This window comes from Homo sapiens, chromosome 9, assembly GCF_000001405.40.
Source record: "Homo sapiens chromosome 9, GRCh38.p14 Primary Assembly".
In the NCBI taxonomy this organism is placed as follows: domain Eukaryota; kingdom Metazoa; phylum Chordata; class Mammalia; order Primates; family Hominidae; genus Homo; species Homo sapiens.
Window position 1 is genome coordinate 76,299,382 of NC_000009.12, and position 17,212 is coordinate 76,316,593.

At 41.5% G+C, this 17,212-nt stretch overlaps 1 protein-coding gene across 5 annotated transcripts in view; it reads left to right on the top strand.

The window, feature by feature from the left end:
* The window catches only part of PCSK5 (proprotein convertase subtilisin/kexin type 5), a 473,167-nt gene that overhangs the window by 409,573 nt on the left and 46,382 nt on the right, over positions 1-17,212 (top strand). For 3 of the 5 annotated variants that reach the window (XM_047423454.1, NM_001372043.1, XM_011518770.3), the window contains 3 exons: positions 2,756-2,836; positions 9,264-9,347; positions 11,275-11,470. In XM_047423454.1, coding sequence (XP_047279410.1) covers positions 2,756-2,836; positions 9,264-9,347; positions 11,275-11,470 — 361 coding nt within the window. The remainder of the gene's footprint in view (positions 1-2,755; positions 2,837-9,263; positions 9,348-11,274; positions 11,471-17,212) is intronic. The other 2 variants (XM_011518769.4, NM_001190482.2) reach the window with 2 other exon arrangements.

The following is a 17,212-nucleotide window of genomic DNA, read 5'->3' on the forward strand; positions in this document are numbered from 1 at the left end:
TTCAAGGCCGGACGTGGTAGCTCATGCCTATAATCCCAGCACTTTGGGAGGCCGAGGCGGGTGGATCTCTTGAGGTCAGGAGTTCGAGACCAACCTGGCCAACATGGTGAAACCTCATCTCTACTAAAAATACAAAAAAAATTAGCCGGGCGTGGTGGTCAGTACCTGTAATCCCAGCTACTCAGGAGGCTGAGGTGCAAGAATCACTTGAACCCAGGAGGCAGAGGTTGCAGTGAGCTGAGATTGTGCCACAGCACTCCAGCCTGGGCAACAGAGAGACTCCATCTAAAACAACAACAACAACAAACGAACAAACAAAAATATATAATATTCGACAGGCTGCAAATGGCTTCAGCAGTGACTCAAGCATCACACAACCTTGGTGGAAAGGTTCAGGTATGGCAGACCACGGGCTTTGAAGGAAGATGATGGCTTCGGCTGGTTTCCTGAAGCCACTTTTGGGAATGGAAGCACTTTCCTCTGCTACTGTTAAACCATTTGGATTTTCTTAAGTGGTTTCCCCCGGTAGTGCTGGAGAGTCCTAGGAGTAATTTCTGCACATTTATCTTACCTCATATTTCCATCATTGATTAAAACAATGTTATAGCAGGTTCTAATTACATATTCTGCTGATAGTCTAATCTACAGAACACAGACATGGTGAATTAGCTTTGTGTTTGTGACCACATCCTAACAATTTATCACTAGCCTGTCTCTTGATCTTAATTCTAATCCTTGGGGAAAGACTGAAATCCCAGAGTTAGTCACAAACACTGAAAGTCACTCACATGTGAAAAAAAATAAATCGACTTCAGTAGTGGGAAGATACGTTGCCTAATAGTCACTGAACTTTAGAAAACTTCAAAGATGCCATGGAAATCTGATTTTTAGAGAGACTTTATAGATGTGTACAGCTGTCTCACTTAGAAATGAGTACACCATTTTTAGTTATTTAACCTACCAGAACACAGAGTGCAAAAAAACACATGGCACTGGGTAAGTAATTAACTGTTTGGCCAGTAGGACAAAGGAAGCATCTGTATCAGCTTGCCCAGATCGTTATATACTCAGGAGTTCTGGAAGTGGATTGTGAAACCATTGACAGCTTGAAATTAGCTATGGTGGGAGTATTTACACCACAGAAATTGGAAACACTACAAATCAGGTTTTTGGTTTTTCATTTTTCTAGAGACCTGTCTTACCAGCACACCATTATTTTGGCTTCTATCAAATTACTTCAGAATTCAAATTTATTGCTGAAAAATTCTAAAGCCTATGTCTACACCCTCTAGCAGATGCAGGCTTTAGGGCACAGCACACATGAATTCAAATCCCAGCTCTGTGTTTTGCTAGCTGTGTGACCTTCAGTGAGTTACTCATCCTCTCTGAGCCTGTGTCCTTCTCTGTAAAGTGAAAACATGAAACTGCCTCACACAAAGTCATTTTAAGAATGAAATGAGAAAATGTATATAAAGCTCTCAGGACACATATAACACAATAAAGTCTCGTCTACTCCCTAACTATTTGACTCGGTCCAGTTTTAACACTTGAAACACCAGTTTGCTTTGAAAGCAGCATTCCCTGGGTCACAAAAGAAAGCAATATTTGGGGCCATGCGCAGTGGCTCACACATGTAATCCCAGGACTTTGGGAAGCTGAGGTGGGCAGATCACTTGAGGCCAGGATTCAAGACCAACCTGGCCAACATGGTGAAACCCTGTCTCTACTAAAAATACAAAAATTAGCCAGGTGTGGTGGCACGCATCTGTAGTCTCAGCTACTTGGGAGGCTGAGGCATTAGAATCACTTGAACCTGGAAGGTGGAGGTTGCAGTGAGCCGAGATCACACCACTGCACTCCAGCCTGGGCAACAGAGCGCGACTCTCTCAAAAAAAAAAAAAAGAAAGAAAAGAAAGAAAGCCATTTGAGAGGGTATAGAGATAAACAGGGCTCTAAGGGAAATGGCCCTGGAAAAAAAGGCACCAGATAATGGTAAGTCGGGATACCTAATAGGCAGAATCCTGACTTAGCCAAGAATGTATACTCACAAAGATGTTGAGAGCAGCTTTACGATTTTAAAAAGAGAAGGGAACAATCTCAAAAATATAACAAAAGAAAAAAGCTAAATGAATTACCATCCATACAAATAAATATGCAAACCATTGAAAATGATGTTTACAGCTGGGCACGGTGGCTCATGCCTGTAATCCCAGCACTTTGGGAGGCCAAGGCAGGCAGATCACGTCAGTCCAGGAGTTTGAGACCAACCTGGCCAACACGGTGAAACCCCATCTCTACTAAAAATACAAAATACTAGCCAGGCATGGCGGTGCTTGCCTATAGTCCCAGCTACTTGGGAGGCTGAGGCAGGAGAATCGCTTGAACCTGGGAGCCAGAGGCTGCAACAAGCTGAGATGGCGCCACCGCACTCTGGCCTGGGAAACAGAGCAAGACTCCTCGTGGAAAAAAAAAATGATGTTTACAAGGAATGCTAATGACAAGAGAAAATACCTACGAGATTTATAGTGTTAAATGCAGTGTTCAGGGTCAGTCTTATGTGTACAGAAGCTATAAATGATGACACATCTATACATAGATGTAATTATACTCACACACTCAATATGAAGATGAGACATCCATGTACCACAGTATACACAGCAGACATTTCTGGGTGGTGGGTTTATAGGTGAAGTTTATCTTCTTTATCCTTTTTGCATTAAAAAAAAACTAAACACTTTTTTTTTTAATAAAAAAGAAGCTGTGTCCACTGCAAACCTATCTGTGGTGAAGAGCCTGCTGCAGGAGCGACGAAGGTGGAAAGTTCAAATCAAAAGAGGTAACAGGGAAATAGGGAGGCAACAATCACAGCAGCAGAGACTATCTCTGGAGATGGTCTCCGTGGAGAAATCACCCCAAGAAGCTGGGAGGCCAGAAGCAAATGGGGTGCAGAGATGCAGAGGTCATTAGAAAAAGTTGGAGACAGGAGGGGCAATAAACACAACATATCAGTGGGCACTCAGAGGGAAGACTGTGAGAAGTTCCGCAGTGGAGATTTCTGTAACAGATAAGGATATTCGTGACGAGCTAAATGGTCATGGCTGGCAGAGGCTATCAAGAAAAGCCTCTGTCCTTGCAGAACTTTAATAGGCTAAGGAAGCACCTCTGCCTTCCCAGTCACCGCAGCATTGTTTGAAATCACAAAGACTGGAAAAAACTAAGTGGTTACCAGCAGGAGATGAGAGAAATAAAGTCGATGTATTCATACAATAGAATACTATGGAGCCACCAAAAGGAAGAGGTTCTTTCTGTACTGATAAAGAATGATTTCCAAATATATTGCTTGTTTACTTTACAGGCAAGGTGATAAACCGTGTGAATAGATACAGCTTGTATGAAAAAGGGTGGAGAAGGGATTGGGAGAGAGACATCACAGTACATGCCTTTTCTCCATTTTGCACCATGAGTGAATTATGTATTAAATAAAAAATAAATACAATAAATGAACCCCTTGCTTTATATAGTTTAGCTACAGTCATTTCTGAAGAATGGACACTGCACTTTCTGGGTCAAAGTGGTTCTTTTTTTTTTTTTTTTTTTTTTTTGTGGTCCTGTCCAGTCTAGAATTTCCAAAGTTGGAAAAAGAGAAACTATGATCACGGTTAAAATTTACTTGTTGAGATTAAGTCCCCAATCTTTTATGATAAAGAACTCTTGCTGAGGAGGACTTTATGCCCTGCCCAGGCCTAATTGCTAAGTTAACTGCTTGTACAGATCTCCCTCTGGTGGACATATGAAGACATTACAGAATTTTATTTTATTTTTATTTGTTATTATTTTTTAAGGGACAAGGTTTCACCATGTTGTCCAGGCTGGTCTCAAACTCTTGGCTTCAAGCTATCCTCCCACCTTGGCCTCCCAGATTGCTGGGATTATAGACATAAGCCACCGTGCTTGGCTGACATTACAGAATTTCATACCAGGAGTATGCAGTAAAATACCAAATTGCCAGAACGTGAGATACATGTAATTATAAATATGTGCATATTTGTAGATATAGACATTAAAACTTATACAAATATGAGAAAATTGATGAAAACTCATGTCTTTATAAATATATTTTAGTATATACATGATAACATCAAAGGAAAATCAGCCTGAAGCCTGGACATAGAACATTGAAGATTTGCACGGTGTTCACTGTCTGATTAATATTGTTGCCTTATTATTCTTTGAACAACTGCTCTCAGCCATTCAGTGAGCATCTGACTATTAGCAACAGGATTGTTGCTTGCCTTTCGGCTGCCTTCTCTTTGGGGCTGAGTGATACTGCAGTTTTAAAAAGCCCTCGGGGACAGAATCGGTTACTTTGAGAGGCATGCGGAACACCTTTGTGACAATCCTGTGGCCAAGGTGGCTCTGCACAAGGCTAAATTCAGCCCTTAGCAGATGCCCCAGAGAGAATACATCAGTCAATCATCAGCTTTAATTAGTGTATTGGAAAACCAGGGGGCTGGCTGCAGTGGCTCACACCTGTAATCCCAGCGCTTTGGGAGACCAAGGCGGGTGGACCACCTGAGGTCAGGAGTTCAAGACCAGCCCGGGCAAAATGGTGAAACCCCATCTTTACTAAAAATACAAAAATTAGCCAGGCTTGGTGGCAGGCACCTGTAATCCCAGCTACTTGGGAGGCTGAGACCAGAGAATCGCTTGAACCTGGGAGGTGAAGGTTGCAGTGAGCCAAGATTGCACCACTGCACTCCAGCCTAGGTGATGGAGCGAGACTCTGTCTCAAAAAATAAAAGAAAGCCAGGGTAAATTTTTATCTCCAAGCTAGGAAAAAACCAACTACCCAGCCTGGCAGCCTAATCATTTATATCTCCATCTCCACCTGTATTTGCATCTATCCGCATATCTGTGTCTATCCATCCTATCTATGTATGTACCTTTCTATCATCTGTATTTGAATCTAGTTTCATCTATGGCAAGGCTCATCAGCTTTGTATCCATGATTGTCATCACAGAAGCTGAGCAGGCCACCCAGGTATGAAACCAGAGGGAAGGAAGAGGGGAGTAAAACAAGCCTCAGAAAGGGAGTGGAATGGTGGCAGGAGAGAATCAACAGGAAGCTGAAGGAACTACAATTTACTGCGCCCCTATGTTAAGCACTTGACACGTATTATCTCATTTAGTCTTCACAACAATCCTATAAGGGCAGAATTATTTTCTCTCATTTTAGAGACAAGGAAAGTAGGATTCTGAGAGTTTAATTACTGTATCCATGTGCCCCTATGTTAAGCACTTGACACGTATTATCTCATTTAGTCTTCACAACAATCCTATAAGGGCAGAATTATTTTCTCTCATTTTAGAGACAAGGAAAGTAGGATTCTGAGAGTTTAATTACTGTATCCATGTGCCCCTATGTTAAGCACTTGACACGTATTATCTCATTTAGTCTTCACAACAATCCTATAAGGGCAGAATTATTTTCTCTCATTTTAGAGACAAGGAAAGTAGGATTCTGAGAGTTTAATTACTGTATCCATGTGCCCCTATGTTAAGCACTTGACACGTATTATCTCATTTAGTCTTCACAACAATCCTATAAGGGCAGAATTATTTTCTCTCATTTTAGAGACAAGGAAAGTAGGATTCTGAGAGTTTAATTACTGTATCCATGTGCCCCTATGTTAAGCACTTGACACGTATTATCTCATTTAGTCTTCACAACAATCCTATAAGGGCAGAATTATTTTCTCTCATTTTAGAGACAAGGAAAGTAGGATTCTGAGAGTTTAATTACTGTATCCATGTGCCCCTATGTTAAGCACTTGACACGTATTATCTCATTTAGTCTTCACAACAATCCTATAAGGGCAGAATTATTTTCTCTCATTTTAGAGACAAGGAAAGTAGGATTCTGAGAGTTTAATTACTGTATCCATGTGCCCCTATGTTAAGCACTTGACACGTATTATCTCATTTAGTCTTCACAACAATCCTATAAGGGCAGAATTATTTTCTCTCATTTTAGAGACAAGGAAAGTAGGATTCTGAGAGTTTAATTACTGTATCCATGTGCCCCTATGTTAAGCACTTGACACGTATTATCTCATTTAGTCTTCACAACAATCCTATAAGGGCAGAATTATTTTCTCTCATTTTAGAGACAAGGAAAGTAGGATTCTGAGAGTTTAATTACTGTATCCATGTGCCCCTATGTTAAGCACTTGACACGTATTATCTCATTTAGTCTTCACAACAATCCTATAAGGGCAGAATTATTTTCTCTCATTTTAGAGACAAGGAAAGTAGGATTCTGAGAGTTTAATTACTGTATCCATGTGCCCCTATGTTAAGCACTTGACACGTATTATCTCATTTAGTCTTCACAACAATCCTATAAGGGCAGAATTATTTTCTCTCATTTTAGAGACAAGGAAAGTAGGATTCTGAGAGTTTAATTACTGTATCCATGTGCCCCTATGTTAAGCACTTGACACGTATTATCTCATTTAGTCTTCACAACAATCCTATAAGGGCAGAATTATTTTCTCTCATTTTAGAGACAAGGAAAGTAGGATTCTGAGAGTTTAATTACTGTATCCATGTGCCCCTATGTTAAGCACTTGACACGTATTATCTCATTTAGTCTTCACAACAATCCTATAAGGGCAGAATTATTTTCTCTCATTTTAGAGACAAGGAAAGTAGGATTCTGAGAGTTTAATTACTGTATCCATGTGCCCCTATGTTAAGCACTTGACACGTATTATCTCATTTAGTCTTCACAACAATCCTATAAGGGCAGAATTATTTTCTCTCATTTTAGAGACAAGGAAAGTAGGATTCTGAGAGTTTAATTACTGTAGCCATGTGCCCCTATGTTAAGCACTTGACACGTATTATCTCATTTAGTCTTCACAACAATCCTATAAGGGCAGAATTATTTTCTCTCATTTTAGAGACAAGGAAAGTAGGATTCTGAGAGTTTAATTACTGTAGCCATGTGCCCCTATGTTAAGCACTTGACACGTATTATCTCATTTAGTCTTCACAACAATCCTATAAGGGCAGAATTATTTTCTCTCATTTTAGAGACAAGGAAAGTAGGATTCTGAGAGTTTAATTACCGTATCCATGTGCCCCTATGTTAAGCACTTGACACGTATTATCTCATTTAGTCTTCACAACAATCCTATAAGGGCAGAATTATTTTCTCTCATTTTAGAGACAAGGAAAGTAGGATTCTGAGAGTTTAATTACTGTATCCATGTGCCCCTATGTTAAGCACTTGACACGTATTATCTCATTTAGTCTTCACAACAATCCTATAAGGGCAGAATTATTTTCTCTAATTTTAGAGACAAGGAAAGTAGGATTCTGAGAGTTTAATTACTGTATCCATGTGCCCCTATGTTAAGCACTTGACACGTATTATCTCATTTAGTCTTCACAACAATCCTATAAGGGCAGAATTATTTTCTCTCATTTTAGAGACAAGGAAAGTAGGATTCTGAGAGTTTAATTACTGTATCCATGTGCCCCTATGTTAAGCACTTGACACGTATTATCTCATTTAGTCTTCACAACAATCCTATAAGGGCAGAATTATTTTCTCTCATTTTAGAGACAAGGAAAGTAGGATTCTGAGAGTTTAATTACTGTATCCATGTGCCCCTATGTTAAGCACTTGACACGTATTATCTCATTTAGTCTTCACAACAATCCTATAAGGGCAGAATTATTTTCTCTCATTTTAGAGACAAGGAAAGTAGGATTCTGAGAGTTTAATTACCGTATCCATGGTTACCCTACCCTTCGGCGGCATAGCTGGGATCTGAAGGCAGGTGTGACTAGAGCGCCATCTATACCCGGCTGACTCTTAGGATGAGAAGAAAGAAGATGAAAGGCAGGAGAGGAAGGAAGGGAGAAAGGGAGGGAGGAGGTAATAAGGAAAATGGTAAGATGTCAACATTGATTGAGGGTCAGGGTCATTGAAATCCCACATTCTGAGCTAGAACTTCGTTTTCTAATTTTTTCCTGTGTGAGCCATGCTGATTTCTGAGCAATCCCTGAGCTCTAGTCAAGGTCTCCATATGTATTGACTGAGTGATGTCTTGAAGCTGTTCTGTCCTTGAAATTGTCCCATGGAGTTGCTGAGGTGACTTCCTGGGAAAGCCTGCCCATCAAATGCTGTTGGAGGGAAAGGGAGAAGGGAACACTTCCAATGTTTCCTTGGTTAATGGTATATTAACCTGGGACAACCTACTTATAGCCCGACCAACAAGAAAGCCTGTGAGTAGGGGATAATTTTGATGTTTAACAATGATTTGGGACAAACTTAAGATGAGATAAATTTAGGTTGCATAGCACAGTAGCTACTCTAAAGAACACAGTGACCCAAACATTGACCAATAATAAAATCTGATTTTCAAAGAACAAAAACAGAAAAAAAAAAGAAAAGAAGTTCCTCCACGAGAGGTACAATGAATTGTCAATTATCATCTTGGAGTGAAGAGAAATGGTCATCCGGCCGGGCGCGGTGGCTCACACCTGTAATCCCAGCAGTTTGGGAGGCTGAGGCGGGTGGATCACCTGAGGTCAAGAGTTCAAGACCAGCTGGTCAACATGGCAAAACCCCGTCTCTACTAAAAATACAAAAATTAGCTGGGCATGGTAGTGCGCACCTGTAATCCCAGCTACTTGGGAGATTGAGGCAGGAGAATCACTTGAGCCCAGGAGGCAGAGGCGGCAGTGAGCCAAGATCACACCACCACACTCCAGCCTGGGCTACAGAGTGAGACTCTGTCTCAAAAAAGAAAAGAAAAGAAAAGAAAAGGTCATCCAACAATCTTGGCAATAGAAGTGATTACCTTTGACTCATAAACTCATTCACAAGTGCATACACACAAATACAAACTCACTCCCATTTTTAACACACAAAAGAAGTAATTATGTGTTCAAATATCCCCACAGTATTTGAGGCTATCTTGTAGAATACCACATTCCTTGTGGTACCACACATTCGTGTGGTATCTTTCTTGATAATCAATTGCAAATGAAGGAGTAAGAGAAAAAAAAATAAATGAAGTCTACACAATGGCAATGAGCCAGTGCCAACAATCAGCTCATGTACAATCAAAAGGATTCCATCTGGGGCAGGAAAAGAGACTAGGTAACCCATGAGATCTTTTTCAGTACTGGAATCCTATGTGCCTATTCCAAGGAGAAGCCTGAACTGTTGTTTCTTTCTCATACAGATATTTTGAGAAAACTCCAGCCTTGTCATTCTTCTTGTAAAACCTGCAATGGATCTGCAACTCTGTGCACTTCATGTCCCAAAGGTTAGTGTGTTGCGTGACAGAAGATGGCAGCAGTCAAGCCAAGTCATTGAAACTCATGTGTAGTGGCATCTTGGTGTAAGGAGGTCTGTAAGGCCTTGATCTATTCCCATCACATGTTCCTATTACAGTGGCTACTCGGGAGACACACAGGGACCCAAACATTGACCAATAATAAAAACTGGCTTTCAAAGGACAATACAAAGAAGTGGTCAGGTACAGTGGTTCACACCTGTAATCCCAACATTTTGAGAGGCTGAGGCGGGAGGATTTCTTGAGCCCAGGAGTTTGAGATCAGCCTGGGAAACATAGTGAGACCCCATCTCTATAAAAATTTTAAAAATTAGCTGGGCATGGTGGCATGTCCCTGTAGTTCCACCTACTTGGGAGGCTGAAATGAAAGCATTGCTTGGTCCCAGGAGGTCAAGGCTGCAGTGAACCATGATCATGCCACTGCACTCCAGCCTGGGTGACAGAGCAAGACCTTGTCTTAAAAAAGAAAAAAGTTTCTTAATCTAAAGGCATGATGAAGAGGGAGGGAGGAAGGAATAAGAGCAGCAACATAACAGCTTGATAACTTATCAATTGCTTCATCTATAAAAACAAAAATCACAAATAACATAACTTCCCTGAATTAGGAGAATATTTTACTTAAATGGTACACTGACATAAAGAATGTTTAAGTGGGCTGGGCATGATGGCTCATGCCTGTAATCCCAACACTTTGGGAGGCTGAAGCAGGAGGATCACTTGAGGCCAGGAGTTGGAGACCTGCCTGGCCAACATGGCAAGTCCCCGTCTCTACTAAAAATACAAAAATTAGCCACATGTGTTGGCACATGCCTGTAATCCCAGGCTACGTGGGAGGCTGAGACATGAGATCACTTGAACCTGGGAGGTAGAGGTTGCAGTGTGCACTTCAACCTGGATGACAGAGCAAGACGCTGCCTCAAAAAAAAAAAAAAGAATGTTTACATGTTTCCATGATCATTATAAAGTCCACGTTGGAATGTACAATGTTAATAGTGGAATCTGATGCAAAAGCAGAAAAATTTACAATAATAGGCAAGCCACAATTATAATCATATAAAATATAAAAGGTTACACTCAAAAAGCTAAAGCATTTTCCTGGAATCTTGGGTGTGAGAGTGATTTTGAAAATTGGTTTTCTTAATGAGTATCAGTTGTTTTTCGATTGAAAAATAGGTGGATCCCCTGTTAAAGGGAGAGTTGGGTGGAAGAGTTGTAACTCTGGGCCGAGCCTGTAATGCCAGCACTTTAGGAGGCTGAAGCGGGCAGATTACCTGAGGTCAGGAGTCTGAGTCCCACCTGTCCAACATGGTGAAACCCCGTGTCTACTAAAAATACAAAAATTAGCCAGGTGTGGTGGTGCACGCCTGTAGTCCCAGCTGCTCAGGAGGCTGAAGTAGGAGAATCGCTTGAACCCGGGAGGCGGAGGTCGCAGTGAGCCAAGATCGCACCAGTGCACTCCAGCCTGGGAGATAGAGCAAGACTCCTTCTCAAAAAAAAAAAAAAAGAGTTGCAACTATGTTAGTGTCCTAACAAGATGGGCTTTGGGGAAGCAGAGTATTAATAGATTCCATCAAGCTGTGCATGTACAGCTGCCTTACACCAGGAAGACATAGAGAGTGTGTTAATAAGACTGATCAACTGGGCAAAAGGAAGCCCCATCATGACCTATACCTAATATCTGTAGGATAGGAAAGAAACAGGCAAAAGTCTCTTGCTGTCAATTGCCTTCTAGAAATGTAACTCATCCTGGAGGACTTAGCATCACTAGCAAATATTTTGGTAAGCCTGAAATAAGTGCCTGGATACTTTGGTCTTTGGAAAGCTTAAAAAAGCCATGTCTCTGCATGGAAAACCACATGATGACTATTCCCATCTTCCCTCTTCCCTGAATTTCTAGGTGCATATCTTCTGGCTCAGGCCTGTGTTTCCTCCTGTCCCCAAGGCACATGGCCTTCCGTAAGGAGTGGGAGCTGCGAGAACTGTACGGAGGCCTGTGCCATCTGCTCTGGAGCCGATCTTTGCAAAAAATGCCAGATGCAGCCGGGCCACCCTCTCTTCCTCCATGAAGGCAGGTGCTACTCCAAGTGCCCGGAGTAAGTTTCCTTTTTAATTTTACTTCCTGCTTGTAATCACTCTCCTCTGGTACTTTGGGAGCAATTCTTTCTTATTCACCAAAAAACTCTTCTCTGCTCTACGAGCACCCACATAAATGTCCTCTGTTGACTGACATGGGTGTGCGCCACAGCAGCCAAAACTTACATGAGGCCAGATGCCCACTTCTCCTCTGTGACTATTTTATGTATATATTTTTACTTTTATGAAAAATATGTTCAGGGGCTGGGCGTGGTGGCTCACACCTGTAATCCCAGCACTTCGGGAGGCTAAGGCAGAAGGATCGCTAGGAATTTGAGACCAGCCTAGGCAACATAGCAAGACTCCGTCTACAAAATATTTAAAAATTAGCCAGTGGGTGCTGTAGTCCCAGCTACTTGGGAGGCTAAGGTGGGAGGATTCCTTGAGCCCAGGAGATTGCAGTGAGCTGTGATTGCACCACTGTACTCCAGCCTGGATGACAAAGCAGGACCCTGTCTTTAAAAAAAAAAAAAAAATTATTTTCCCACCTTATATTAATGATCAACTGATGTCATGTTTTTTTTCCTCCATTACAAAAGTAAGGCTGTGATGTGCACCTCTTCTAAAGGTTTAAATAGGTGAGGCATGAATTATAGATAATAAATAACACCTGGTTAGTTATTTATTGATTCCTCCTGGTTTCCTTGGTCCCCTGGTTTGTAGTTGCTTTACTCTTCCTACCAATAGTCCCACCTCCAGAATTTACCTAGGAAGAAAGTGAGGAATAGCAAATGCAAGAGTACAGCAAGAAACTTTCAGCAATAAGCAACAGAAATGCCAAGTAAAATGACTGAGACATAACAGGGTTTATTATCTCACAGAACAAAAATGCTGCAAGTCCAGTATTGGTCACTTCAGCGGCCAACAAGGTCATCACAAAGTCTGGTTTTTCTGTTTCGCTCTTGTACCTTCCTTAGCTCATCCTCTCTGACTGGCACCGCTGCTGAGCCCACATTACGTGTCTCAGCTCCAGACACGGTCACCCCATGCAGCCACTACCAGGGCCAGGAAAGGGGATGTTTCCCCTTGTTTATCCTTTTCTTGAAGAAAAGAAAATTTCCTCAGATTTTTATTCTAATCTCAGTCGCAAGAATGCATCACTGATACCTCCCTAAATCAATCCCTGGCAAAAAGAATGGAAATATAGGAGTGGTTTAGGCTGAACAAGATTCACGCCTGAACATCCAAGCAACTCAGGACTCTGACAGCCAGGAAGAATGGAGAGAGGGAGGCAGGAAATAAATGTGCGGAAGTAACTGACAGTGTCTACTTTAAGGAGTTAGAATTTTCATTTGCCCTCTTATTAAAAGAATTTGATACAACAACGCCTATTTCCTGGCTGGGCGTGGTGGCTCACGCCTGTAATCACAGCATTTTGGGAGGCCAACCGGGAGGATCACCTGAGGTCAGGAGTTCAAAACCAGCCTGACCAACATGGAGAAACCCCATCTCTACTAAAAATACAAAATTAGCCAGGCATGGTGTCATATGCCTGTAATCCCAGCTACTCGGGAGGCTGAAGCAGGAGACTCGTTTGAACTCGGGAGGTGGAGGTTGTGGTGAGCTAAGATCACACCGTTATATTCCAGCCTGGGCAACAAGAGCGAAACTCCATCTCAAAAAAAAAAAAAAGCAAAAAAGCAAAACTGGCACCTATTTCCTAGTGACCTATTTGTTTTCATTACTGAGATAGACTCTATAGAGTATAAATATAAGTTATGAGTATAAATATAGAGTATAAATATAAGGTATTTACCCTCAAAAAGCATCCAATCTAGTGTAGAAAGCCAAGCATATTCAGCTCAACAACACAGATTTAGCACCAACTAGGGGTAAAAATTGATACTGATGCAATATCAATATATTGTATTGTATATGCGTAGCTCAGTGGAGTCTATTCTTCTACCAACAATTGATATTGATATTGATATTGATGTTGATATTGACACTGATATGGAAAGCTAAGTTAAGACCAACTCCAGGAAGTCCAAGTCTGCAAAAATGCTTACAATCCACTAAGGGAGGTTTACATCAGTCAATGTCATACTTCTCAGGGCCTTAATATACAAAGGGCTAAGAGATTCCAAGAGAAAAGAAAACATTTTAAATCACTATTTTTTGAATGCTTGCAACGTCCAGGTATTGTGCTAAGGGCTGTAAATGTATGATCCCATTAATCCTCACAAGAATTCTCTTATCCACTTACTATTATTTTCCCTCATTTGACCAATGAGGAAAAGAATAGCAGGCTCAATTTTACACATCAAATACATGGTGTGGCCAGAATTTGAACCCAAACCTCTCTGGCATTGAAGTCCATGTGCTTAACTATCACTCAGTGCTGCCTTCTTGTACAATTGAGTATTTTTTAAATCACAACTTTATTGAGATATAATTCACATACCATACAAATCACCCCTAAAAGTGTATAATTCACGGTTTTTAGTATATTCACAGAGTTATGCAACCATTACCACAATCAATTTCAGAACATTGTCATCAACCTAGAAAGAAACCCTATACCCTTTTAGCTGTTATTCCTACTTTTTCCATTTCCCCCAGCCCTAAGCAACCACTAATCTACTTTCTATCCCTGTAGATTTGCTATTCTTGGACATTTCCTATAAATGGGATTATATAAAATGTGGTCTTTGAGCCAAGCATGGTGGCCATGGTGCACACCTCTAGTCCCAGCTATCAGGAGCCCAAGGCTGGAGAATTGCTTGAGCCCAGGAGTTCAAGGTCAGCCTGAGCAACATAGCAAGACCCTGTCTCTGAAAACAAAAACAAAACACATAAAACAAAAAAGACAAAACATGTTTTTTTCTGACAGACTTTTTGACTTAGCATAATGTTTTCCAGCTTCATCCCCAGCTGGGTATTTGAGAAAAGGCTTGATGGTCCCTAGCTCTTGAAGGATTTTGTCAAGCAGAGAGTGGAGAAAGGGTAGCAAAGGGTCAGAGTAAGAGAACCCAGGTGAGAAGTCAGGTTTGGAAACTCCCAGTCCTCCTCCCCTATCAACCGAGCTCCACCCCAGCAAACTCAGCCAAGTGTTACAATAAAGCAAAGGTGAAAGAGATTTGCTTACCAGAGTCAGTCATTGCTTCCTCAGTGGTAGGATTGAACTGGTTGTCATTATTATTGCCTTATTTATTTAATCATTACCTTTTTCAACTCTCTCTTGGATTCTTTGAGTGTTCCAGGAATTGACAACACATTAAAACAAGGAAGAAAGAGATGCATTTTGCTTTACTCAAGTTAGTTGACCGCTTAATGTATTTTACCTCAGAGTCTGGGTTGAACCATTTTCATGGAGCAATGGGACACTACGCAGACATGCAGCAGTCAAGATAGTCTGTATTTCTTGAGCAGTAGGAAAGCTACCAGCATGGCCTAGGAATATTGCAGACTATAGAATTGCAAGCATATGCCCTCCTGTTATGGGTAGGGTGATCTGATTATAGCGGAATCCCTCATCTTTGTGTTTAAACACACACAAAAAAAGAAAACTAACAACAGAAGACACAGAGTCTGAGGAACACATAATATCCAGTTTATCTTGGGAAGCTTTATTGCTGTTTCTGAGAAATCACCCTTTTGGGTGTGATCCATCCTAGAACAGCAATAAGATTTATAACAGGAACATAACCTGCAATGACACAGCATCCAGATATTCAGAGTTATTTATAAGTTAGCATTTAGTGGCCCCTGCTTTTTCAAATATAGTACATGTTCATGAAAAAAAAAAGTGTTTGTTTTTTTTGAGACCAAGTCTCTCCCTGTTGCCCAGGCTGGAGTGCAATGGCGCGATCTCGGCTCACTGCAATCTCTGCCTCCCAGGTTCAAGCAATCATCCTGCCTCAGCCTCCCGAGTAGCTGGGATTACAGGCGCATGCCACCACACCTGGCTTATATTTTTTTCTATCTTTTGTAGAGATGGGGTTTCACCGTGTTGGCCAGGCTGGTCTCGGAACTCCTGACCTCGTGATCCGACCACCGTGGCCTCCCAAAGTGCTGGGATTACAGGCATGAGCCGCCACGCTAGGCCAAAAATAGGTTTTAACAGTAACGTATTTTTTTTTTTCTGAGATGGAGTTTCACTCTTGTTGCCCAGGCAATGGCGCCATCTCAGCTCACTGCAACCTCTACCTCCCAGGTTGAAGCAATTCTCCTGCCTCAGCCTCCCAAGTATCTGGGATTACATGCATCCATCACCACGCCCAGCTAATTTTTTGTATTTTTAGTAGAGATGGGGTTTCACCACGTTGGCCAGGCTGGTCTTGAACTCCTGACCTCAGGTGATCCACCCACCCTGGCCTTTCAGAGTGCTGGGATTACAGGCATGAGCCACTGTGACAGTAACATATATCATTACAGTAGTTGTTTAAAAAGCAACAGAAAACTTAAGGTGGACTCACATTCACCAAATGTGAACAGATTTGAAGCTCTGTTGAAGAAAAACAGCCTTCCTTTAAGTGCTGCTGGTCACTGTCTTGGTGTCTGTGAAATGGAGGTGAAGGCCCAGGACCACACAGCTTTCACAGGACATGGATTTATCTGAGCTGAAAGACTTCAACATTAAGTACTTTGAATTTAACGATTTAGTACATGCAACCATTTCTTTTCAAAAGAAATATTCGTCTTCTTAAATAAAATAATTGTGAAATAAAGCACTAAGAAAAACAGTTTTATAAATGCAGAGACAGGAAAGGAGAACCAACTCCCAGGCAGATCTGTGTGGAGAAGACTACTTTTTTTTTTTTTTTTTTTTGAGACAGAGTCTTGCTCTGGAATGCAGTGGTGCAATCTCAGCTCACTGCAATTTCTGCCTCCCAGGTTCAAGCGATTCTTCTGCCTCAGCCTCCTGAGTAGCTGGGATTACAGGCGCCCACCATCAAGCTCGACTAATTTTTGTATTTTTGTAGAGACAGCATTTCGCCATGTTGGCCAAGCTGGTCTTGAATTCCTGACCTCAGGTGATCCACCCATCTGGGCCTCCCAAAGTGCTAGGATTACAGGCATGAGCCACTTCAAGGGTTTTTTTTTTTTTTTTTTTTTTTGCTTTTTGCTTGAATCCATTTCTTTCATTTCAGCATCTCATCCAACATCCACTGAACCTCTTCTGAGAGGGATCTGAAAAAGATTTATTCGTGTTGCGTCTTTTTAGCTCTGTATTAGCATTCATCATCTTCAGTGTCCAGAAACTATTCTCTGCAGGTCTTGGCCAGGCCTAGCATTGAGATTCCCTGGAGGTGGGCCTGATCTTACAAAGCTCCCCTCCTTTAAACACAGAGTGGATCATTGTGGCAAGCCAGTTCCCACCTTAAGTTTACAAGATGTGGCTGGCCCCACTCTGAGTCATCCCAGTACCAACTCTCAGGTGTGGCAAGAGAGACCCATCATGAATAACAAAGACACCCCTAACTCTTAGGAAATTCCAAAGGTTTTGAGGTTAGCCGAAGAGAAAGACCAGACCTCTCTTTGGGTGAGGTCAAATTCTTTACTATGCTTACAGGAACAATGAATCCATCAAATTTTCATTCGATTAGAAGATGTGATTGGTAAGGTACACCTGTAATCCCAGCACTTTGGGATGCCATGGTGGGCGCACTGCTTGAGGCCAGGAGTTTGAGACCAGCTTGGGTAACATAGTAAGACCCCCATCTCTACAAAAAAAAAAAGATAAAAATTTAAAAATTAGC